Source organism: Homo sapiens, chromosome 21 (genome assembly GCF_000001405.40).
Source record: "Homo sapiens chromosome 21, GRCh38.p14 Primary Assembly".
NCBI lineage: Eukaryota > Metazoa > Chordata > Mammalia > Primates > Hominidae > Homo > Homo sapiens.
In genome coordinates this window covers 38,473,679-38,498,659 of record NC_000021.9, presented here as the reverse complement: position 1 = coordinate 38,498,659, position 24,981 = coordinate 38,473,679, and the positions used below count along the sequence as shown (strand labels likewise).

The 24,981-nt window shown below is 40.9% G+C and overlaps 1 protein-coding gene across 10 annotated transcripts in view, besides 7 other annotated features; it reads left to right on the top strand.

Annotated features, from left to right (window-relative positions):
• ERG (ETS transcription factor ERG) overlaps positions 1-24,981 on the top strand; it is a 294,523-nt gene that overhangs the window by 163,124 nt on the left and 106,418 nt on the right. For 2 of the 10 annotated variants that reach the window (NM_001331025.2, NM_182918.4), the window contains exon 1: positions 183-297. The exons of 6 other annotated variants lie outside the window; for them this stretch is intronic. In NM_001331025.2, the coding sequence (NP_001317954.1) occupies positions 280-297 (18 nt within the window). In that variant the 5' untranslated portion in view covers positions 183-279. Of the gene's footprint in view, positions 1-155; positions 298-24,538; positions 24,634-24,981 lie in introns of those variants that run through there. 2 more of the 10 variants (NR_111949.2, NM_001136155.1) reach the window with 2 other exon arrangements.
• Positions 1-24,981: part of a mitotic recombination region, noted in NCBI's record as "ERG recombination sub-region recombines with the TMPRSS2 recombination region. This represents the genomic range from 26 different ERG genomic breakpoints.", that runs on past both edges of the window. NCBI's record gives the evidence for it as "EXISTENCE:nucleotide sequencing assay evidence [ECO:0000219][PMID:23447416]".
• Positions 2,335-2,336: a mitotic recombination region, noted in NCBI's record as "case 30 ERG recombination sub-region, recombines with the case 30 TMPRSS2 recombination sub-region". NCBI's record gives the evidence for it as "EXISTENCE:nucleotide sequencing assay evidence [ECO:0000219][PMID:20601956]".
• Positions 2,546-2,714: a protein binding site, noted in NCBI's record as "region showing enrichment for dihydrotestosterone-dependent DNA topoisomerase II beta binding, near the case 30 TMPRSS2 recombination sub-region". NCBI's record gives the evidence for it as "EXISTENCE:chromatin immunoprecipitation evidence [ECO:0000226][PMID:20601956]".
• Positions 3,530-3,531: a mitotic recombination region, noted in NCBI's record as "case 28 ERG recombination sub-region, recombines with the case 28 TMPRSS2 recombination sub-region". NCBI's record gives the evidence for it as "EXISTENCE:nucleotide sequencing assay evidence [ECO:0000219][PMID:20601956]".
• Positions 19,908-19,909: a mitotic recombination region, noted in NCBI's record as "case 17 ERG recombination sub-region, recombines with the case 17 TMPRSS2 recombination sub-region". NCBI's record gives the evidence for it as "EXISTENCE:nucleotide sequencing assay evidence [ECO:0000219][PMID:20601956, PMID:19363497]".
• Positions 21,920-22,214: an enhancer, noted in NCBI's record as "tiled region #14119; K562 Activating DNase unmatched - State 8:EnhW". NCBI's record gives its function as "activates a minimal TATA promoter and a strong SV40 promoter by Sharpr-MPRA in K562 cells {active_cell/tissue: K562}" and the evidence as "EXISTENCE:reporter gene assay evidence [ECO:0000049][PMID:27701403]".
• Positions 21,920-22,214: a silencer, noted in NCBI's record as "tiled region #14119; HepG2 Repressive non-DNase unmatched - State 21:Repr". NCBI's record gives its function as "weakly represses a minimal TATA promoter and a strong SV40 promoter by Sharpr-MPRA in HepG2 cells {active_cell/tissue: HepG2}" and the evidence as "EXISTENCE:reporter gene assay evidence [ECO:0000049][PMID:27701403]".

The window sequence follows — 24,981 nt, the reverse complement described above, 5'->3', positions numbered from 1 at the left end:
CTTTTTTTAATTAAAAAAAAAAAATCTCCTGGCTGCATATCATCAAGAAAAACAACATTGTTTTCAGGGTCTCTTATCTCTCCACTCCCAAATATCCTGTTTCTTTGGGCTGGACAGCCAGGACCAATAGAAACCTCTTCCTGCCATTGGCTGACTTCATTTCCCAGACTTAGCACAATCTCATCCGCTCTAAACAACCTCATCAAAACTACTTTCTGGTCAGAGAGAAGCAATAATTATTATTAACATTTATTAACGATCAATAAACTTGATCGCATTATGGCCAGCACTATTAAGGTAAGGAAAGGGTTCCTTTTAATTTGACAAAATCTTGTTCTTGTTACTCTTTTCTTTGGTTTCCTTTATCAAGGCAGATAAGTTAGGGTTGGGCAACACCCCCACTGCCACAATAGAGGACAACAAGATTTCCTTTGCACTGCCTAGTAAATTTCCTTTTTCCTACTCCAACCATCCGCAAGGCTTAAAAACTTCAAACTCAGAAAAAAATTGGGGTTTCTAAATTCACTGTTGAGTGCTGTGGATTACTTTTGGAAAGGCTTTTCGGAGCGCTTCTGAATTTTCAGATTCTCTAACTATCCCTAACGGTGCCTGGATGTGTGTCTGAGAAAAGGCAGCAGACTCGGAGAGGTTGAAGGGTCGGGTCAAAGCAAAAGATGCGTTTGTGAATGTCAGACATTTGGAGGCTCTTCAGTGGCTCCTTAGCATCAGGGATGCCAGGCAGTCCCAGTGGAAGCGAAGAGATACTCGGCAAGTGGCTGCTGGTAATGGGACGCAAATGTTGACTTGATTTGTGGGACATCCACGCTGAGAACTGAGTGCTCACGTAACTCAAATGGGGGTAATTTGGTTTGTTCCACTATATGTTTATCTTCAATAAAATACCTACTGTCTGTGCACTGTGAGTAAGATTTCTTCCAGCAATGGTTAGGTTTGCGGAGATTGGAAAGCAATGGCCGGTCGGTTCTCTGTGCTGTGGGGTGTTTGGTCTGATGCATTTCCTTGCCTAAGTTTTTAGTAGATAGCATGTAGAGATTAATGTGGAGGTAAATCTGCACAGGTACAATCCTAAATATGGCCTGATTCCTGGAAATGAAGCCAATTTAATGGTGACTACAAGTCAAGGGGCATGCAGTCTTGAATGGGGGTCCGTTCAGTTGTTTTAAAGGCCACCATGCCTTCGTGACATTTGTAGAAATGTGAAAAATCAGCAACAAAAGCAGATGCTGAGTGGAGGGAAAAGAAAATTGTGTTTGTTGCATGTCTTTAGTTTTGCTGCACGGAGGTGAGAAGCATTTGGTGGTGTTTTCATAAGGCTTTTAGTTTGTTGGAAAGTGCATAAGAAAATGGAAGTTTGCCCAGAATTGGGCCAAGCCATTTTCAAAAATACTCTTTGGTTTGGTATTTTCATAATTTGAAATGTTTGTATTAGAAGATTTGACTCATATGTACCATAGAAACTGTGTTTGAGAAGTTCAGCTTTTATTTCTCAAGGTGTGTTCAATAATATATTAAAAATCTGTGTACCAAGAACTTTCACCTTATACTTTTCTTTCTTTGGCTTCAAGGATTGGAATCTGCTGAAATATGGCTCCTATAGACAGGAATTATAAAATTGAGAGTTAATGTGCCCTACTTATAGCTACATGAATAGAAATTACTTGATTTTGTGACCCAAAATGTTATTTTTTTGTTCTTATTTTCATCCTTATTCATATGCATGTTAAATCAAATATTCTGTGTAAATCTTGAATAGCTTGGGTACGATCTTATGTGGTTTTTTTTCCCAAAAAACTCAGTGCATTAAAAAGGACATTGAAATAACAGACCATCCTTTAGAAGGTAGGTACATTTTGCAAAACATCCAAATGTGTTATACTGTTTAATTTGAAGTATACATTTATGAATACATGAAGCTATTTTGAAAGTTTGAATATTTTGTGATTTTCTGAACACTTTTTTGGAAATAATAGTTTACACTTGTCTAAGGTACTATGCTTGATTTAACATTTTATTACATTGCATTATGTGTTTATTGTATGTACCCAAGTGAACCCTTAGAATGACTACAGGTGAATTTTTTTTTAATCTTCTGTTAAAATAGGCCCTCTTTATAGGTGACTTCCTTTAAGACATGTTTCTGTTAGATTTCCTGGGTAAAGTAATGAGATGATTTTACAGCCTTGTTTATAGAGTGGAAAAAGGAGGTCCTGAGTCTGTTGACTACAGTTTCAATTACGTTAGCGCAAAGCCCAAGTTAGCATAGGGAAAATGATGGCTGTCCACTGGAATTAGGAAACAGCCCCCCATAGAGGCAATTTCCAGTCTCAATGCACTCTGTTTTTTTGTTGTTTCAGTAAATAAATCAATTAGTCGATTAGGTATCAGATGCTCTGAATTTTTTAAGTTGGTTTTCTGCATTTGAGTGGAGTTTTTATTTTTTTGCATTAACATTTGTAAGACCCTATGAGACACTATGAAAAGCTAAATATTCGTATCCAGTCTTTGTGATTCTTACCATCATTTTCCCTTGGTAACTTGAAATTGGGAACAAAATGTTTCAATTGGAAGAAGTAAAGGAATTTTGGGAACTTATGTGAGAGTGTTCATTTATCTCTAAGTGTCTGTGAATTTTAAGATCAGCTTAAGAGTTCTAGTAAAGACTTGGAAGCAACAAAGCTGATGGTTTGCAGACAATTCACTGATTGGTTTTGGTGCTTCCCTTGGGCATTGGTGACATCTGACAATATTGAGAGGTGCTGAACCTCACCGGCCCCACTGTCCCCACAAACATCTCAGTGTTTGCTACAGACTGCAGGGATCCTGCTGTTGCACTGAAAACTCGATTGTGCTTCAGTTAGGAGTTTTAGCCTAATTTCCCAAAGACTTTCCTGATTCCTTTTTTTTTAATGCCATCTGCAATTTGGGAAGTCTAGTGAAGCCTACAGTCCTTTCTCAGAATAATACTTTCTGGTGCCTAAAAAGAAATACATAGAATTACAACAGAAATACAGTCCTCTCCCCGGACCTTTTAAGGAGAACATGAACCCCAGGTTGCAAGTTCTGATCCTAGAAAGATACTTAATGTGTAAAAAGGGAATGTGGGGGATTTTCCATCATCACAGAGATCTGACATTGAAGGATGTGGAGAGAGCCAGCAGCCGGCAGCAGCATCAGGGGAAAGCATCTTAAAAATCAGACAGGACATGGAAAGTTACTAACAAGGCTTGGTGGAGACCTGAGGGCACCCTAGTGCTATTTCCATGACTTGCCTAAAGAAGTTACTTTTTTTTGAATTAACAGAGGTTGGAAGGTTTGATGGTAATTGAAACACGACCTGATAGGACTCAATTTTATTAATTTAAAGACATAAAGCTTGCATTATATACGCCACGTCTGCACATTTGCACTTCTTGAACGTTTGCTATCACATGTGAGGGAAACTTAATTAAGACTAAGAGTTATATGAAGAAAGTTAACTCCTCACAGAATTTTGATGGATGTGATTAATGAGTTTAATAGCTACAGATTTATGATTTTTCATCAACCTGTTGGCTAAGTGAAATACGAATTGCGTCAGTCCTTGTTACTTTAGGGGGATTCCGGGAGAATGGAAGGAAGGCCAGGGGCAAAATGCCGCTGCCCTGCTGTGCATAAGTCATTTCAGAGCATGCTCTGAGTGTTTGTCCTTGCCGAAAAGTGGCTTTACAGGCAACTACTTTAAAACAACTTGCTGCTTCCGTTCTTGGTCAGCTCTGTGATCCAGGCTGCCCTCTGTGGACACAGCACAGTTCTCCCTGGCCCTCTGCCTGTGTGTGCATGCACCCATGCATGCCAGGCACCCTGACTCAGTGACCCTGGAAAGCAGGATTGAGAATGGCTCCATCTGTGGGCTTTTCTTCCCCCATGAAATACAGTGCAGGACTGCAATGCTCTCAGACAATGTGCTGAGCCTGAACCATTTCTTAATTATCTACGTTTATAAGTGATTATCTCATAAAGTTTTTGTTTTGCAAAACAGATCTTTATTTAAACACAAACACAGGTTAACAACTCTTGAAAAAGCATACATAAAAATAAGTAAATGAAACAACCATTTCTGTTGTCTTCAGGAAAATATGACTGATACATTTAGAACTTTAGAATAAGATTCCCTCTGTGGGAGTGGAGACCCAAAGCCATTATAGGCATCCCAACAATTTGGCGGATTTATTGGTTTAACAGCTGATACATAAGAGAATCACAGAGTAAGGGCCATGGGGAAGCCAGACGGATGAGAGTTTCTCTGAAATGAGAAACCTCAGAGAAGAGACAGGGACAGTCTCCAGGCTGTTCCAGCGTTTGGTAGCACACTGTGCTCTGGCGGGGTCTTTTCTTTGGAGCTACCTCAAGGAGAGCCTTCTTGTCCCCTCCTTTGACCCCACAGGATAGAGGACAACTGCTCCCTGGCCTGGGGATTCTGTCAGACCACCCCTGATAGCGCTTCTCTCACCTTACGTGGCCGCAGACACACTTGCATTTGCTTCCTTCCTGTTGTGACCCTGGGCAAGGTAGCTAGCCTGTCTGATCTCAGTTTCGTCACCTGTAAAATGGGATCATAATGGCTACCCTGTCTCGCACCCATCCTCAATAAATGGCAGATGCCATCAGACGCCCCCCCGCGGATGTAACCTTTTCTACCGTATTGTCTTTCAGGCTCTGCACTCACTCGTCTCAACATTTCCCACGGCCCAGCTTCAGCTGTGAAGCCCACAGCCATAGACTGCTCTGATGTGCGGCCTCCCACACCCAGGCAGGGTACATCTGGGTCTGGGCAGCCACAGGACAGGGAAGGAAGGAGGAGGGAGCTTGCAGGGGTGCTTGTTAAAGGTGTAGCAGGGCAGGTACCACACACAGGGGCAGGTGGAGCGTCCAGGGGTCGCCCGAGGTGGTGCTGGTCAGAGAGGGTTGGCTTCGTCCTGTTCTGAGCCGAGGCTGCTGGAGGAGGGCAGAGGCCTATGACTGCATCGTGCTCCTGGTTAGGGCAGGAACAGCACCCTGGAATACCCCACTCTCCTCTTTACTCCTGAATTACAAAAAATACATCTTGTTCTTTAGCATAAATTATAAACATAAAAAATTCTTATGGTAGAGAAAACGTTTAAAAGTCATCACAAAGTCAATATAAATTGTTCAGATCCTAACCAACCACAGCAAATTCCTAACAATTGGGATATGTCTCTCCACCGTGTGTATCTGTTTGGCCTTGTATCTACCTACCTGTCCTGCTCTTCTCAGTTAGCATTGTTTTACAAGCATTTTCCCATGTTACTAACATTTTTTGATAAGCAAAATTTTTGTTTCATTATATTCTATCTAAAATATGTATTACCATTTTATAACCAATATCCTAGTGTATAAAGTGATGCTGCTTGCGATGTTTCACTCATTATATTGCAGTACACCATCTATTTAATTTTTTGAATACTTTTTATTAGTATTGGTGCCTAGAAAGGAATTATTGAGCCAATGGGTATATATATTTTTTAAGTCTTTGCCAAATTTAAATATTTGCCAATTTAAAAAATAATTACCAGATTATTCTCTGGAAGGATTATACCAGTTCTCCCTTTTTCTAGCCACATATGAGACCAGTTCCACACTACACCCATAACAACTCTGAATATTTTACTCTTTGAATCTTTGCCATTCTGACAGATAAGAACAGAATCTCATTTTTATTTGTACTTCTTTAATTTTAGTATTTCATTACATTTTTTTGTTTGTTTGCTGTGAACCCATTTTGGCTAGTGGTCCACTGTGACCTCTGGATTTTTTTTCTTATTTATACTTTTATTCTCTGTTTGGTCTAGCTTACTTTCCACATATTTCCCCTACTGAGCTTGGCCAAGACATGTTTTATAAAATTTCACATCGATTCCCATCTGTCCACTCTCCCACTCTTCATTTTCTTTCCTGTCAGCACATTCTCCCAGCTTTGCTTGTGTTTGTTGTTGAGTGTGAATAATTTATGTATACCCACTGATATCGCAGAAGCTGTTTTTAGTGATATCTTATCCATTTCTTCTGTGTCCTCAACAGTGACTGGCAAAGAGTAGAGGTTCAATAAGCACTTGTTGAAAACATAAACTTAAATTTTAATTATTTGAAATCATAAAGAGGAAGTTAAGATATCAGAGTAATGTAATTATCATTGTAGACTTCAAATAGAATTCTTATGTTTTTAGAGACATTTCTCCTAGTAAAATAACGTTAATTAAAATTGACTTAAATTGATGTTTAAGAAAGTATAAAAAATGTAGCTGTAGTATCTTGAATTCATAATCCAAACTAACATCATCCTAATAACTGCTTGTTATGTGCCAAGTCCTGTGCTAAACTCTCATAATGTCTCATGTGATCCTCACAGCAGCCTGGGTACTGCTGCTTTCTTACAGATAAGGACAAAGGATTAGAGAGGCGAAGTATCTTATACAAGTCACACAAATCTGTCTCCCTTCTCTTTATCATCTGATCTCTTTTTTCCTGCTATTCACCCTAGCTGTACATAGTGAATTACTGTGCAGAGAAACATGATGTATTAAGTGTTATGGAGACACATGAAATAATTGGATAATGAAAATTATTATCGCTGGTTACTTTATGTTATCTACTCTTCTGGGAAAAATCCCATAGGCAGCAATTCTTATACTCTAGGTGGCTAATCAAAACAAAGTTCTAGAAAATTCAAGAGGTAAAACTCTAGCACTGAATTCTATATTTGCTCAGTGACAAGAATTCTTTCCATATTTGGCGAGATCCAAGGGGCAGTGCTTCCAGATTCCAGATCAGCTGCTGATTTAAATTTCCTCATCCCAAGTATCAACTTCCTTGCACTCGTCTTGGGCGTCAATAATGAACACGCAGGTCAGAGTTTTCCATAAGGCCTTAACAAGTCTTTCAGCAGGGTGTTCATGGAATTAAACTCTGGGAAGAACGGTAATCTGCTGTTGTACACAGATAAGTACAGAGACATTTTGAAAAGAAATGCTAAGGCCAAGCAAAATGATTTATTTTTAAAGTGCCACATCAGAATCCAATCATAACATTAACCTCAGGGCTGTTACTTTAAACACGTTTGGTAAAAACAATGCTTGTCGAATTTTTGAAAATATAATAACTTTATGCAAAGATCCCGCACTCTTGCATTTAACACATTCCACTTTTTAAATCCTTCTGCCTTGATGATTTAAAATCTCCCTTGCTGGTTTTTTTGTTTTTTAAATTTACCAAGTATTGATACAGAATCAGCACTGAAGACAGGACCCTTCTGCTACCTCCACATTCACATTCCCCCCAAGGCCATTCATTCAGATCGTCAGCCAGCAGTGAGTTTCTCATCTCCATGCTCTTTGGGTTTCATCGGGTTTTATTGGGTCTTTTTTTTTTTTTTTTTAATTTTGACAGTGTGCACATGATGCTCACCTTTGAGGAAGAAGAAACTGTTGAAACAACACTTTAGAATCTGTCAACACAATTAGTTTGTGTCTCAATTTGAGGTAGATGTCCCAAGACATTGCTCCAAGTTAAAAAGAAAAAAAAAGTATGTGGTTTTGCATTGCGTAGTCCTCTTTGGATCCATACGATATGTGTGCCTTCCCTGACCTTCCAGAGAGCATCAAAAACATGAAGGTTGAATCCAGAGAGCACAGCCCACTTTTATCTTTGGCCCAGGGAGGCACTTGGTACTCTGTATTTCTTCGTGGCATCCTTAAAATAGCCTCTGTGGAAAAGGGATTGGCCTTATCTTCCGTGCAACGGATGGGAGGCATAGATATAGCTGCTGGCAAGGGGAAGTGGAAAGAGGCCCATCTGGGAGAGGGTGGCCCGGAGCTTTAGTTTGATGCTGCAGGACTTCCCCAGGTGAACGCACCTCTCCTGGCCCTAGCTCCCTTATAGGAAAATGGAGGTGGTCAGCTCCGCCTTCTCCACAGTGACCATCTGCTGACTGTGCTGCTGCCAGGACGCAGGGGGAGCTAACAGCAGTGCCCCTATCGGATCTTCAAACCGGGGAGGGGTCTCGTGCAGTGGGCAGGGGAAATGGGCTCCCACCTGGCTTTTGGGGTTCACTCCCTGGCTGTTCTACTTCCTGGCCATTTCACCTTTGGCAAGCCACAGCCTCACAGGAGATAGGCTTTTCCATCGGTGAAATGGGTAGAGTGATAGTTCCTACTTCACAGGGTTATAGTGAGATTCACCAAGTCGCAAGAGCCCAGAACTGTATATGGCACACATAAGCTCCTCAATCAAAGTTAGTTAATTTTACTATTCATTCAAGCCAAATACATTTTTCTTCTAAGACTAAAATCAGGGAATCTATGAAAAGCATTTCCCCCTACCTTTTTTTTTTCAATTTCTACAACAGTTTGTGAATTGAATTTTGTTTTCAATTAGCCAATTTGTCCATTTTCCTGTGATGAACATGTTTTTATCTCTTCATTATAAAGTAAGAACTCTGACAGACACAGTGAGCTCCCAATTATTCACGAGCACCTGATCTGCATTGGAGATTGCTTAAAACAGGGCTGGGAAATGCTTGCTGGTGAGTTCACCGGACACTGCACAGCAGGTCCTGGAAGGAGACATTCAGGGCGTTGTTAACTTCTGTGTCTCCCTATTCTTCTTATTCTCCTTCCATACTCTTTCTCTCTCATTGCAATCGCTATCCACCTGGAAGGCGGCTTGAAAAACACAAAAGACAACAAGGATGATGAGGGGGACCCCTCCTGAGCCTCTTAAATGCTGAGGGATCCTTCCTGGACCTGTTTTTATTCATTCCAAGCTGCCTCTCCTAGACAATCACTTCTCTTACCCCAGGAAATCTGGGACGGTGCAGGTTTGCAAGCTTGATCTGGAATAAAGAAACAAAGGAAAAGACGGACCAGGAGGCTTGGCCTACGCCAGGCAAAAGTCAGCAAAAGCAGCCACTACACATCTCCTTTTGAGTTCTAACTTTTCACTTTGTCTTGTGTGAACTCCTAAACTGGAAGCATATTTATAGTCACGTAAAAATAAGAATATTGTCCAAGGCCAAATGTAAGTGACTTTTATGAGTTATTGGACTTTGTGAATTACTCATTCTACCAACCTGAATTAACATAGATAGTTTTGTTGACTTTACCTTCTTTGTAAGCCAAACAGTATGAACTCGGTTAAGCCGGTCTTAGGAGAAAAGACATAAAATGTGTGTTGCTAGGATAGCATTCTAGTGAAGGAAGCCACTTCTTTGTTTCTTGTGCATCCCTGTGAGGGTACCTCTGTCCATCCCAAGAGCTGTTTTCATGGACTCACTGTTGAAAGCCCAAGCCTATTGTAACCAATTTTGATAAGCTGGTTACAAAATAAGCACATGTATACATTTTTTAAAGCCTTGTTCTTCTGGAGATGGAAAACATCTTTTTTTAGATCACATGTTTACTGCTTTGGTAAACAGTAAAATGCTGCTACAGCAATTACCTTGAGGATAAAGGGTTTGTAGACAGATACTTCCTGCGTTCACTTCCTACACAGATAGCCAGCCCAACCAGAGACGCACTGATGCAGGAAGGGCTCCCAGTGGAAACTTCCTCTCTCCGAATGCGTGGTCCATTATTCGTTATCTCCTCTCCAAGGGGAATAAGCTTGTTGCTCCAGATTTTCTAGGAGAATTCTGTCTTGAAACAGGTAAAAATATAAAGTTTCTAAAGTAATGATTACAGTACCTCGTTCTCATCCTCGGTGTCATCTACTCGGTGATTTTTAAGGGGACGTGATTAGACTAGAATAGACTTGTCTATGAGTAACATGCCCCGTAGGCACCTCTGTCTCCTTTGAATCATGGAAAATGATGCATAATTCGAATGTTTTTATATTTGGTAGAAAAATAAGTCTCTTTGAGATTCAATGGAAGGCCTTTTCTATGGTTAGTTGAAAGGTCATTTTAGATTTTGCTTTCTTTAGTCAAGCAGAGATTACCAGATTTGGGTACAAAAAATATCAGCTCACAGATTGTTCTCTGTGCTGATTTTACAGCAGTTACTAAATTCCAACGAATGCATTGTTTAGGCCCTTTGAACCGAAGCAAATAAAACCACAGTGCACACACACTAAACAATAGGGCATCATCAATTAGCCATCTACAGGATGTGTCCTTGCAGACTGGCCCCTTTGTAGGAGAAAAAAAAATAGATCAAGTCAACAAACAATAACACTGAACAATAAACTAAACAAAATAAATAGCACCTGGGAGCCCCTTAAGCACTGGCGAAGCACCAAAGGGTGATGTTTACACACTGTACACACGGAAACCCACAGCTCCACCCAGATCTCCTGCAGGTCCCTAAAATACTCAAAGAACTCAGCAGCCAATCATTGCTGGGTCACCTCATGTTGAAGGGTACCCCCTTTGGCGATCAGAAAATGCTGAGCCTCTTAAATGCTGTTTTCATTCACTCCAAGCTAGCTCTCATAGACAATCACTTCTCTCACCCCAGGAAGTCTGGGACAGTGCATTGCGAAGGGAAGAAGGCAGTATCTAACAGAGCCTTCTGCCTGGCCTATTCCATAAGTGCCGATGACTGCCAGGTGGGGGGCAGAGATTGCATTTGACCCCGAGAGACTGCCAGACATGGTGAGATGCTGTCATGTCTCACGTAGATGTTATTGCACGAATATATTCTAGTGATTTTATCCACATATTCAATATATGTATTTTGTATTTAACATGAAATTGAATTGAAGTGAAATTGCCCAAAGAGATATTTTCCTTTAGGGACTCATTTCTTCACATACTTTTGCTTATCTTGTTGGAAGACACACTATGTCAATCTCAGTATCCTGTTTGAATGAAGACTGCTTTCCTCCTATGTATCTGTTGCCCCTAGACAGTCATTGTGCAGCTTGTTACCTTTCTGTGAAACTCCATGAGACAGCTCCAGCATTCATCCTTACAGGTGCTACCTCCTGACACTTCTGCTTCTTTGCAAAATGACTTCCCTGATCTCCTGAGTCTGTATTGTTTCCAGTGCTGCCTGAACCACATTTGGGTGATGCTACAGGACCAGACAGCAGACAGATTTGTCATGGATGCCTGATGGGATAGGACCCTGTTGGCATCCTCTCTGAAAATCTCCCTTGCCTGGCTAGGGATTGTTTTATTTTATTTTCTTTAGCCTGTAGCAAATACAGGTTCAGTATCTCCATTGAATAATATATTGTAGAAAGAAAGGCAGTAATAAAAACTTCGTTCTTTTTCCCCATTTGAAAAACAATTATTATAGGAGTTTAGAAAATAAAAATTTTAAAAACAAAATTAAAATAATTGATGTTACACCATCAAGGGTCTTTGAATACTCGATTCTTTTTTGATTTTTTTTGTCTTTACTCCTGTACCAATGTATCCTTTTTAAAGAATAATAAAATTTGAGAAATTAAACTCATTGTTATTAGTACCTTTCTATCCACTTCTTTTTTTTTTCCAGGATAGTGAAAAAAAAAAAAAAAAGAGGAGTGAGGGCTGAACTTGTTACGATTTAGAAATTAAGGCCCATTTTCCTTCTTAAGAACCCAGTTTCTCTATATGAAGCAGATCCAGACCGCAGGTCCCTGTCCCACCACGCCTTTCACTTCCCTGTGCCTCGTTTCCTCATCTGTAGAAGAGAGTCAGTCATGATAATAACTCCTACTTCTTGGTAGTGTTGCAAGGATTAAGCAGCTTAATACTTGTATGTGCTTTGAACAGTAACGTGCTGTAGTGTACAAAAGATGTAAATTGCAGACCAGGCATGCTGGCAGCTGCCTGTAGTTTCAGCTTCTCGGGAAGCCAAAGCAAAGGATCTCTTGAGCCTCAGTATCTGAGGTCAGCCTGGGCAACCTGGCAAAATACCTCATCTCATAATAATAACAACAATAATAATAATGTTAGCTGTTATGGGCTGTTATTGGTTACTTATCCTAGTCACAGTCTTCTTATTTAATTTACTCTCATATCTCAATTGTTTTTTTGAAGTAATCAATTATCTTCCTTGATTGTGTTTGTTTCCAGTATTTGTCTTTGGAAAGGAATCCTGCATTTATACCTGGTTATTTATAGCTTCTTCTAAAGGGGTGAAAGTATTTCCCTACACAGTCATGCATCACCATGCCCGGTCAGTTCTGAGAAATGAGTTGTTAGATGATTTCATCGTGCAAACATCACAAAGAGCACTTACACAAATGTACATGGCATAGCCGGCTGCACACGTAGGCTACAGGCTATAAGTGTAGCCTGTGCTCCTAGGCTACAAACCTGTGCAGCATGTGACCAGGCTGAATACTGTAGGCAATTGTGACACTTAACACAATGGTTTTTATGTATCAAAATGTGGGAAAGGTATAGTAATAATGCAGTAGAGGCCAGGTGCGGTGGCTCACACCTGTAATCCCAGCACTTTGGGAGGCTGAGGCGGGCAGATCACGAGGTCAGGAGATGGAGACCATCCTGGCTAACACAGTGAAATCCCGTCTCTACTAAAAATATAAAAAATTAGCCAGGCATGGTGGCACGCACCTGTAGTCCCAGCTACTCAGGAGGCTGAGGCAGGAGAATTGCTTGAACCTGGGAGGCAAAGGTTGCTGTGAGCTGAGATCATGCCTCTGCACTCCAGCCTGGGCTACAGAGCGAGACCCCATCTCAAAATAATAATAATTATTATTATTAAGAAGGGAAAAAAATGATACACCTGTACACCTGTATAAGGCACTTACCATGAATGGAGCTTGCAGGATGGAAAGTGGCTGTGGATCTGGGTGAATCAGTGAGTGGTTAGTGAATGTGAAAGCCTAGGACATCACTATCTACTACTGTAGACTTATAAACACTGTATATTGGCCAGGCGCGGTGGCTCATGCCTGTAATCCCAGCACTTTGGGAGGCCGAGGTGGGCGGATCACGAGGTCAGGAGATCGAGACCATCCTGGCCAACATAGTGAAACCCCATCTCTACTAAAAATACAAAAATTAGCCGGGCATGGTGGCGCATGCCTGTAATCCCAGCTACTTGGGAGGCGGAGGGAGGAGAATCCCTTGAACCAGGGAGTTGGAGGTTGCAGTGAGCTGAGATTGCGCCACAGCACTCTAGTCTGGTGACACAGCGAGACTCCATCTCAAAAAAAAAAAAAAAAAGACTGTATATTTACACTAAATTTATTAAAACATTTCTTCAATAGTAAATTCATATTAGATTACTATAACTTTTTTTACTTATTAATTTTTTAAACTTTTTGACTCTTTTGTACTCACTTAGCTTGAAACACAAATATGTGGTTCAGTTGTACAGAAATATTTTCATTCTTTATATCCTTACTCAATAAGCTTTGTTCTATTTTTTTTTTAACTTTCTAAACTTTTTATTAAAAACTAAGACACAAACACATACATTAGCGTAGGTCTACACAGGGTCAGGATCATCAATATCACTGTTTTTCATCTCTACATCTTGTCCCTGTGCCACTGGAAGGTCTGCAGGGACAATAATCTGTGTGGAGCTGTCATCTCCTACGATAACAGTGCCTTATTTTGGAATCCTTCTTGAAGGACCTGCCTGAGGCTGTTTTACAATTAACTTTTTTTTTTTTTGGAAATAGAAAAAGTACACTCTAAAATAATGATGAAAAGTATGGTATAGTAAATATGTAAACCAATAACATAGTCAACTATTATCATTATCAACTATTATGTACTGTACAGAATTGTATGTGCTATACTTTATACAACTGGCAACACAGTAGGTTTGTACACCAGCACCACCAAAAACATGTGAGAAATGCATTGTGCTACAGTGTTACTACAGCTGTATGTCACTAGGCCATAGAGATTTTTCAGCTCCATTATAATCTTATGGTACCCTCGTCCTATCTGCAGTCTGTCATTGTCCAAAACATCATTATGCAACTCCTGAATGTATGCTAATTGCTTTGTTCTCATGCTATTCCTTTGAGGACAGTAGAGAAAACATAAGAGAGTTACAACTGTTATTCCATTTGGTGGCTCAACTGACATGTTAACCAAACTTTCAACAGCTGAACTCAACTGCATTTTTGTGAGCCCAGAAAATCAGTAGTTTTGATAATTTAAAGTTGGAGAAATGAAGGACGTTCATTGTTTCCTCCCATTCTTATGCTTTGGGTGATGCTGTTAAATAAATGAATGTGTTTGTGCAATGGGGAGAGACCACTGTTCTCTGGAGTGGATCTAGAGGTTAAAAAGTCAAGCTATTTTGAACCAACTACTTAGAGTGGCACATTCTTTAGGGGAGGTGAGCAGGGATCTATTGAATTATCATATTGCTGGTTAATCATGATTAAGAATCTATAGAACCCCGACCGGGCGCGGTGGCTCACACATGTAATTGCAGCACTTTGGGAGGTTGAGGCGGGTGGATTGTCTGAGCTCAGGAGTTCACGACCAGCCTGGGCAACACAGTGAAACCCCATCTCTACTAAAATACAAAAAATTAGCCAGGCGTCAAGACCAGTAACTCAAAACGTGTGTTGTTAAAGTTCTATGCCTTAAGTTCTGTGGCTGTTGTCATGTAACCTTTCAGTCATGCTGATGGTGCCTATTAAAAAGCAGGCTATCAGTAAATGTCCATTTCATAAATGAATAAATAACTTCCTGCATGACAAATGCATGAGTGAGTGCATGAATCAGTGATGTGGCTGGCACCCTATATTAAAATCACAAAGAATTGCTGTTTTTTAAAAATTTTTTATTTTTTTGAGACAGAGTCTCACTCTGTCGCCCAGGCTGGAATGCTGTGGTGCAATCTTGGCTCACTGCAACCTCCACCCTCTCCCGGGGTTCAAGAGATTCCCCTGCCTCAGCCTCCCGAGTAGCTGGGACTACAGACGTGTGCCACCATGCCCGGCTATTTTTTGTTTGTTTGTTTGTTTGTATTTTTAGTAGAGACGGGGTTTCACCGTGTTAGCCAGGATGGTCTCAATCTCCTGACCTCGTGATCCACCTGCCTCAGCCTCCCAAAGTGCTGGGATTATAGGCGTGAGCCACCATGCCTGGCCGAGAATTGCTTTTTATATCATGAAAGATGGAGTCCATTTTCCCCAGATGCATATACAATTGTTATATACCACTTATATTAACAAATCCATACTTTTCCAAAAGAGTGGTTTGAACTATGACTTTTTGATTTATTTTTTAAAAGTTTTATTTTATATATTTAAGGTGTACAACATGATGTTTTGATATACATGAAGATGGTGATAAGGTTCTGATAGTGAAGGCAAATTAACATATCCATCATCTTACATGGTTACACATTCTTTTTTTGTGGGGCAAGAGCACCTAAAATCTACTCTTAAAGCAAAAATCCCAAGTACAGCACAGCACGGTATTATTAAGCATATCCCTTATGGTGTACGTTAGATCTCTAGACTTGTTCACCCTGCATATTTGCTACTTTATATTCTTTGACCTACATCTCCCCATTTCCCCATTGAGTCTTTGTTTGTTTGTTTGTTATAGATTTTACATATAAGTGAGATCATGCAGTATTTGTCTTTCTGTGTGTGGCTTATTTCACTTAGCATAACGTCCTCCAGATTCATCCATAATGTGGCAATTGGCAGAATCTCTTTTTGAAAGCTAAATGGGCCGGGCATGGTGGCTACGCTTGTAATCCCAACACTTTGTGAGGCCACGGTAGGTGGATCACTTGAGGCCAGGAGTTCGAGACCAGCCTGGCCAACATGGTGAAAGCCCGTCTCTACTAAAAATTTAATAATTAGTGGGGTGTGGTCGTGGGTGCCTGTAATCCTAGCTATGTGGGAGGCTAAGACAGGAGAATCACTTGAACCTGGGAGGCAGAGGTTGCAGTCAGTCGAGATCATGCCACTGCACTCCAGCCTGGGCAACAGACTGAGATTCCATCTCAAAAAAAAAAAAGGCTAAATGATATTCCGTTGTATATATCCACCACAATTTATTTTATGTATTCATCCATTGATGGACACTTTGGTTCCTTTCATATCTTGGCTATTGTGAGTAATGCTGCAATGAATATGGCACTGCGGGTATCTTTACGAGATAGTGATTACATTTCTTTGGGAAAGTACCCAGAAAAGGGATTGCTGGGTCATATGGTAGGTCTATTTTTAATTTCTTTAGGAACCTCCATACTTTTTTCCACAGTGTCTGCAACATTCCATGTTCCCACCAACAGTCTGCAAGGATTCCCTTTTCTCACATTCTCGCCAACACTTACTATTTCTTGTCTTTTTGACCATAGCCATCTGAACAGGCGTGAGGTGATACCTCATTGTGTCTTTGATTTGCATTTTCCTGATGATTAGTGATATTGGGCACCTTGTCGTATACCCATTGTTCATTATTATGTCTTTTTGGGAAAATGTCTATCCACGTCCTTTCCCTATGTTTGGGAAGGTCAGATGACCGGGGGCTGCCCAGAATCTAATGAGTGCTGCCGAGTACATGATGGTCCCTTCCAGGCCATGGATGGGAATGTTTCACTTGTAAATTAAAAGCAGGAATACAGTTTCCAGGCAACCCATAGCCTGCATTTTGCTACATGACACTTGCCTTGATGAGCAAAACCAAACACCACTTTCATTTTTATTGAGCAGCAACACCTACCAGCATTTATCCAGGATTTGCATTGGGTCATTGAAATATTCAACTTTGACAATCTATTATATAATAAGTCTTTCTGGACATGAACTAGTGACAAGTTGTATTAATGTGCTATGATAGGGACTATTCATTTTTCTTCTTTTGTTACTACAGTCACCTCTTTGAAATGTCAGTGAAACTGTAGCAATCTTTTAAATATGTCTGCTGGTGTCTAGTATATTGATTCACACTGAGGGTTTCTGTATTCATTGGAATCAGGCAAATTACAACACAGTACTTATTATATAAATAACATCTCTAATGGATATGAGATAGCATAACATTTTCAATAATAGCTACGTTTGTTTTTGTATTCAGTTTCAAGATGATCTGCTTTATAATAAAGATTAATTTTAGCAAGTAACTACCAGCTTATCTAAGCCAAATAGTAAAACTGAAAACCCTTCTGTAAATTTAAGATTATCCAGCATATTATTTAACTTAGTGAGCCTTACTGGTTAAAACATTATATATAGGCCAATGAAAATGTAATCTTTCATAAAATCTGAAGTATTCTATTATCTTGATAAGATTTTTAGTGGACTGTTTCTTTAATCATTTAAGAATTCATATCACCATTGTTTCCACAGCGTCCGCATGTAAAGTGCTACTCTGTTTCCTGAATGAATGAATGCATGAATAAATGATGCATATTGAAATCTTTCCCTGAGTAAAGCATGCATTTGGCAATGTATGTGATTAAAAGAAATCTGACTTGGTTCCTCTCCTAGAAGAACTATAATCTAGTTTTTAAGGAGTCAAATAAAAGGAAATGACCTTTATTTGAGAATTAAAATGTTGGAAAAAACTTGATTGGTCATTTAGGAGTTCATTGTTTCTCAACCTAATTATATTTTGGCTCAGTATACTCTTAACTGTTTTTAGGATAATTAAAAGGAACTCCTAAGAGAGCTAGGATGCTGTTGGAGGAGTAAGTATGCATGAAACAATCATAATTTAACTAATTTGCCCACAAATGTTAGCAGGAAAATATACCAAAAATTAGATTTTGTTTTCCATTCGTTATTTTTCTTAATTTCTAACATAATTTTTAAACAAAACTGAGAGATGTTTGTCAAAACACCTCCCAAGTGATGATTTCCATTAGAATATGAACTAGACACTTTTCCTCCAGTGGGATAAGAGCCAGATTTTCCTAATCACAAAAATTAGGGCATGGTCAGGCAAAGGAGTTTACATGAAAAGTTTTGCAAAATTAGTATTACTTTGAAAATTTCAGGCTATTTGGCCACTGCAACCAGGGAGTCACTTAATTCTTGGCATAAACTCCAGCACTTTTGGAAATTGACCTAACTCTATAAGGCAAAAAAAAAAAAAAAAAAAAAAAGGCCATATAGTGCCCTAAAGTGGCAAAATTTTTGTTAAAAACAGCATCCACAAGTACTGTTACCAGTTTCTCAGGATAGCTGTGACAAATTATTACAACCTAGTGGCTTAAAGCAAGAGAAATTTATTCTGTTATAGCTTGGGAGTCCAGAAATCCAAAATCGAGGTGTTGGCTGGGTTGGTCCCTTCTGGAGGCTGTGAGGAAGGATGCATCTGGTGCCTCCTCCAGCTCCGGGGGTTGCCTGCAAGCCCTGTGTTCCTTGGCTTGGACAGTAGTCCTCTCTTATCCGCGATTCCACTTTCCATGGTTTCTGGCAGTTTCATCTGCTGTCTGAAGATATTAGATGGCCATTTCTAGAAATAAATGAATCATACGTCTTAAATTGTTCACCATGCTAAGTAGCATGATGAAGTCTTGTACCATCCTGCCCTGCTCCACCCAGGACATGAATTCCCCTTTTGTCCACCGTATCCATGCTACAGATGCTACCTGCCTGTTAGTCACCGAGTAGCCCTCTTGGTTATGGGATCGACTGTCACGGTATCACAGTGCTTATGTGTAGGTAGCCCTTCTTTTATTCAGTAGTAGCCCCAAGGCACAAGAGGACTGATCCTGGCAATTCCGGGTATGTTAAAGAGAAGCCGTAAAGTGCTTTCTTTCAGTGAAAAGGTGAAAGTTCTGTACTTACAAGGAAAAAGATCATATGCTGTGGTTGCTAAGATGTACAGTAAGAATGAATCTTCTGTCTTTGAAGTTTGAAGAAATAAAAAGAAATCTGTGCTTGTTTTGCCGTTGCACCTCAAACTGCAAAACTGATGACCACAGTGGATAGTAAGTGCTTAGTTAAGATGGAAAAGGTATTGCATTTGTGGATGGAACAGAAAGTGTTCCAGTTAATGGCAGTTGGGTTCAGTCCTGTCTGAGGTTTCAGACATCCCCTGGGGGTCTTGTAGTGTGTCCCCCGTGGATAAGGGGAGACTGCTGTAGATGCATCCCTTCCGTCTCTGCTTTTGTCATCCCACGACCTTCTTCTTTATGTTTCTGTGTGTCCTGCTCAGCCTCTTATGAGGATGCTCTCACTGGATTTAGAACCTACCCTAATCTATGATCTCATTTTAATCATTAATTACATCTGCAAAGATCCTACTTCTAAATAAGGTCATATTCTGAGGTTCCAGGTGGACGTGAATTGTGGGGAGACACTACTTAGCCAGCTACAGGTGGGAAGGAGACCAGGCAGGTCTCAAGGGTGGCAGCTTCACCAACAAACAACGGTTGCCCATTGGAAGAGCCAGGCTCCATTCACTGATATCTCCCAACAGACCAGGTCCTGATGGCAAGATTGTTACACTCATACTTAAGTATAAATCATTTATGTGCAAACAACATTTTGAAAGTGCCAATGCAATTAGTTTTGTTGATGAAAAAATAAAACTTTATAGCATGGATATTAACCATTATATTGTTAAATCCAGCATAATAGTCAAAATAAAATCACTGTAAGGCAAAGTGTTTACTCTGCAACCATTTCAGTTTCACAAGATACTGAGTATGATGTTGTGGTTTTCCTTATCTCATCATTTTACTTGGTAAGTGTCGAGACATGCAAAAGCTTAGGGCAGCCCACACAGTTCGTCAGAAGCACACGTGGGGAGTTTGTTACTTAGGCAGCCAGTCACCCCCATTCTATGTGTCAAGCCTGGACTAATGGATGACAGTGGTGATTACATCCTATGAAAAATGATTCATGTGGCTGTCTTCAGGAAAGTCTTCACGTTGCACCTACACAGTCCTAAGACTGAACTCATAAAACGGCATCCTATACTAATATTATTGTCAAACACTATGATTTCTTTTTGTCTTCTGTCTTTGATATCTGCACCTAAATATTCAGGTGTTACTCATTCTTATGAAATGGGTCAGATTCCAAATAAAAATTGAAGTTCCTCTTATCACTGACCATGAGGGCTCTGCAAGATTGTCTTGGGAAAGAAGATTTACATTAGGAGCTAGGTCATGGATTCTTGTCATGTCTGTGTGTGCCCTTGTCTACGTCCAATGCACACAGGATGAAAAACTGGTCAGCTCACGTGCCCATAGCCCATCTTCACCTCACCTCAAGCTAAGACACCAAGAAACTCCCAGTGTTCCTGGGAGAACCAGGCCAGTGGAATCCTGGGCTTGCATCTAATTTGGCTGCAAAAATGGAGATGGTGCATATCCCTGCAATGTGAGAGTCAGTCCCACTTGCTCTATTTTCACAGTTCCTTCTCTGTACAGTAAGGATTTTCTTAGTCTTACAAAGGCAGGAAAAGGAACAGTTAAGCATGTAAATGCAAACCATGAAAACAAGACCTGTTGCCAGGATATCTTGTCCCAGGGTACAGTAGTACTTCCCATGTAACACACATCCTCTACCATGCCACTCTCCAAAACTGTTATTGGGGCCGGTCTGGAGTCCAGCATGAGTGAGATATGTCATCCTTATAAGTGAGATAGGCTCAGCCTCGTTGTGTGCAAACACGTCTCTGAGGCCTGGAGTATTATGACTTACCTACTGGAAAAAGAGAAACTGGGTTCAAGGGAGAGATAAGATCGAATGTTAGGATGGACTATTTTGATAGCTATCTCAGGTCATCATGAAGATTGCACTAAAACCTTGGGGAGATAAATTTGTTTAGGACATGCTAAATATATGTTTTCCTTTTTTCTTTCTATTTAAAAAAATCTGAGTTGCAGTCACATTAACAGGTCAGTAACATAGAGGTTTGGTTCCCTCATATGACTTTCTGCATGTACTTTACATTTTTTTCTTGTTTAAATGCTAGGCATATTGTGTACCCCACATTGGTTTGTAGCCAGCTCTATGTCATAGGGCCCTTACCCTTTACCTATTTATTGTTAGTATCATGTCCATAAACAAGCCAATGGCTCAGCATGAACTGATGCTAAAGAAAGCTCATGCCTGAGTGATAAATTAAGTGACCTCAGCTATTTCTCTTCAGTGTTGTGAAAGTTATTTTTAACAGTAGGTTTCCTGGTAGATTCTCTAACCACTCGGTATTTCACATGGCCCAACTTGGTTAACTCGACTGGTTACGGCAAATGCTGATAAAGGCAAGATCACAGGTTTGCTCCCCATGAAAACCAATAACTTCTCGGAGATTAAAAAAAAAATCTCCCTTCTGTGACCACAAGCAGCATCACTCATGCAAATGTCGGAAGAGAGGAATTGGGAGTGAGTGAGAGTCTAGCCCAGTGCAAATATTTCTACTGTTGAAAAAAGAAGTCCAGGCGCAGTGACTCACGCCTGTCATCCCAACATTTTGGGAGGCCAAGGTGGGTGGATCGCTTGAGCGAGACCAACCTAGCCAACATGGTGAAACCTTGTCTCTACAAAAAACAGAAAAATTAGTGGGGCATGGTGGCCTTCGCCTGCGGTCCCAGCTACTTGGGAGGTGGAGGTAGGAGGATTACCTGAGCCTGGGGAGGTCAAGGTTGCAGTGAGCCATGAGCGCACCAGTGCAATCCAGCCTGGGCGACAGAGTGAGACTCTGTCTCAAAAAAAAAAAAAAAAAAAAAAAGGAAAGAAAGAAAAGAAAAAAGAATCTCTCAAGCATCAAGTTGTGTTCCTATAGGACACATGGGTTTCTGCATGAAAGCAACTATGTCCAGTCCCCTAAACCTGGTGATTTTATTGGAAATACCTCCAGTTAATTTTTACGCTAATAACCTCAGCCCACTCACACCAAGGCCAAAAGTTACCAGAGTTATGAACAGAGCCATTGCCCACCTTTTCCCCCTAAACGTTGTTGTTGGTGCACATCTGCAGAAAGAGGCCGTTTACGTGGAATTTCAAATCTGGTTGTTTAGTCTACAAGGAGGGGGGAAGGATTCTGTCTCTTTAATGTTTATAACGGTTGGACAGAGCTTGTCGGGTGAAGGTTAATTGCTCTCCAGTTTAAGCAGTTCTGTGCCCAGATGGGTTATCAGGGCTGAACACTCGTTACAAGACTAATCTCATTTCCGACAAGACTTCCCTTTCCTTCAACTGATTTTTGCATGGCCATTGGAGCCGTCATCAGCCGTTAAGAGGAGGGTGGATTACTCTGGGATATTAATGCTGGTATGTGGTGAAACAATGCGGAGTGGTGTTGTATCTCAGGGAACATCTTTAGGAGAACATGTTTCGCTGGTGTTACGAAGAGCCAGGCTCCTAAACCTAAACGTGGAGACAATGGGACCCCTGAAGCGAGGCACTTGGTGAAAGGTGTAGGGGCGATTGCAGCCCGCCTCTCTCTGAGGAGGACCCTGCCCTGATAATACACAGCGACACTTAGGGCTTTGTTTGCTTTTGAAGATTTTTTTTTTTAACGTACTACGTTCAGATTTTCATTCCTAAGGACTACACCTAAGCAGCGAGGAGTTCTGTTTGCTGCTGCCACACGGAGCCCTGTGGCAGGGAGCACCTGTGATGCAGCAACTTCATTTAATTCCTGTGAAACGTCAGGCTTCTCTTTAATTTCAGAGATTTCATAGATGTCATCATGACATATTTGCCTGAAAATAGTAGGCAGATTTTTAAAAATTTAATAACAAGTAGCTTCCTTTCTTTAGTTTGTCTCAAAAAATTCTTCCAAGAAATGGCAGAAAGGCAATGTCTTTTTATCCCTTTGGGATTTGGTGTGTGGAAATTGACTCATTCATTTACTCACTAAGGATTTACTGGGCACCCACTAGGCTCATGGGTGCTGAGGGGCATGAGCAGCAGGACAGCTGGGCTCACTCAGTGCTGTCAATCAGGGGGATGCAGATGGGGGAGACTGACAAATAGATCACAGCTCAACGAAGACAGAGTGTGGCAGGAAGTCAGGAGCCTTAGGAGGGAAGGTAGGGAACATGATAGAGCCAGGTGGCCGGGGGGCGGGACCTCTAGTTTAGAGAACATGATCAGGCAAGGCCTGTCAGACAGAGACCCAAAGAAAAGGTGAGAACAAGGTTTGCAAATGCCTCGGAGGAGTGATGCGGACCAGGGGAATGGCAAAGGCAAGGACCCCAAGGCGGGGACAGGCAGAGGGTGTCTGAGAGCAGCACATCCTCTTATAATCTAGTTTCACAGAGGAGGCTGTCAGAAGAACAGCCCTACCCTAAGGAAGGGTCCATCTGCTTTGATTGTAATCGGGCACAGTCCTGGACACCGAGTCCCTTTCTGTCAGGTGCGAAAAGCTTGGGGAATGCATCTTGGTCATGGGTTGCTACTAAAATGAGCGTGTCATCTTCAGGGGACAGGAATTAAAGGCACAGAGAAAAACTGAAATTATTTAGCTTCCCTTCCCTTCTCCCTTCTTCCCATCTCCCATCCCTTGCCACTGATTATGGTGGGGCTGGCTTTATATATTCTCTAGTTTCTCATATGTTGACTTATTTTTGCAGTCGTTTCAGTTCTAGGCCATTTGGTGCATTATGTTCCGCGTTTATGGGCATGCGCTTTGGAACCAGGCAGCTGGCTTAGAATTCTGGTGCATTAACTGGCAAGATGCTCTAGGCAACTTATTTAATTTTTGGAGTCTCAGTTTTCCTCATCTTTAAAATGGGCATAATGGTAGCTAGTGTGCAGGTTAGATGCATTAATTCACATGTGCATGTCTTTTAGAGCCGCCACGCTGTGATCACGTTATTAAATGTTAGATGTTATCAGGAAGGTCCTATATTGTCTACGATGCTTCACTTTCTTTGATTCATCTGTTTCACTGAGAAAAGTGAGATAAATTATCATTAATCTAGAGACATTTTTGTAGGCTAAAGGCTTCTTATCACAACGTTTTCTCCAAAAAATAACGAACAGACAAAAAAAAAAAAATGGAGCCAAGTCTTTCACCGTATTTGTTTGTTTATACAAGGGCTATATAGTCACCACCTTCCATACAGGTAGGAGTCTCATGACTTTTTGGTGACCCTTTCAGAGCAAGGGTTATTTCTGCCCCACAGGCATCATTTGACTTAGTGAGATTTTCAACACACCCTCAAAGCACATGTTTTTTAGGGCAAAGAGTTGAGGAGAAGAGAGGCAGGGTGAAAGTCTGAGCCTTTGGTGCAGCACCTCTGCTGGCTTCTGAGACTCTGTGTCACCCAGGGGTGGGAGGACAGTTCTCTCCAGGGCACTCATCAGGACCCTGCTGCCTGTGGTCATGAGACAAGGAGATCATGTGTCACAAAGGCACTCAACATGCAGAGGCGGTGTCGCCTGTCACCTGGAGGGGCTGCACGCAATGAACTTCCAGTCTCCATGTGACCTCCCACTTCTTGGCTTTCCTACTGAGGAATTTGCCATTTCCTGTCGAGAAGTCCAGGGTATACAGGAGCAGTAAATGCCGTGGAGAGGGTGGGGGCGGGAGAACCACAGGAAGTCCTCAGATATGACCATTTGGGTTGGTGGAGTCGGGACCAACAATGGGTTTTACCTCTCACAGTTAAACTCCATTGATGATGCACAGTTGACAAGAATTGCCCCTCCAAGATCTCATTGCTGTTTCTGGGAAGTAAACGCTCCTTAAAAGATTTACTTGTGAGTAAACTTCTAACCACTCTTCTTTAGCTGTCTAAGGAAAAAAAAGTCAGTTGGCTCATGTTTTCCAACTTACTTCCTATTATATACACACATACATATACACACACATACACACATATACAACACTTACACACACATACGCTCACACATACACATGCATACATACGCAAACATGTACACATACACATGCATACGTACGCAAACATGTACACATACACACACACACACATATATATATTTATGCCTGTTTAGATCCAAAATCACACACTTTATATAGATAAAACTTAAGTGAACTTTAATATCTGTACCATACATTTAACTTCATTTCACAAAATAGTAATATGT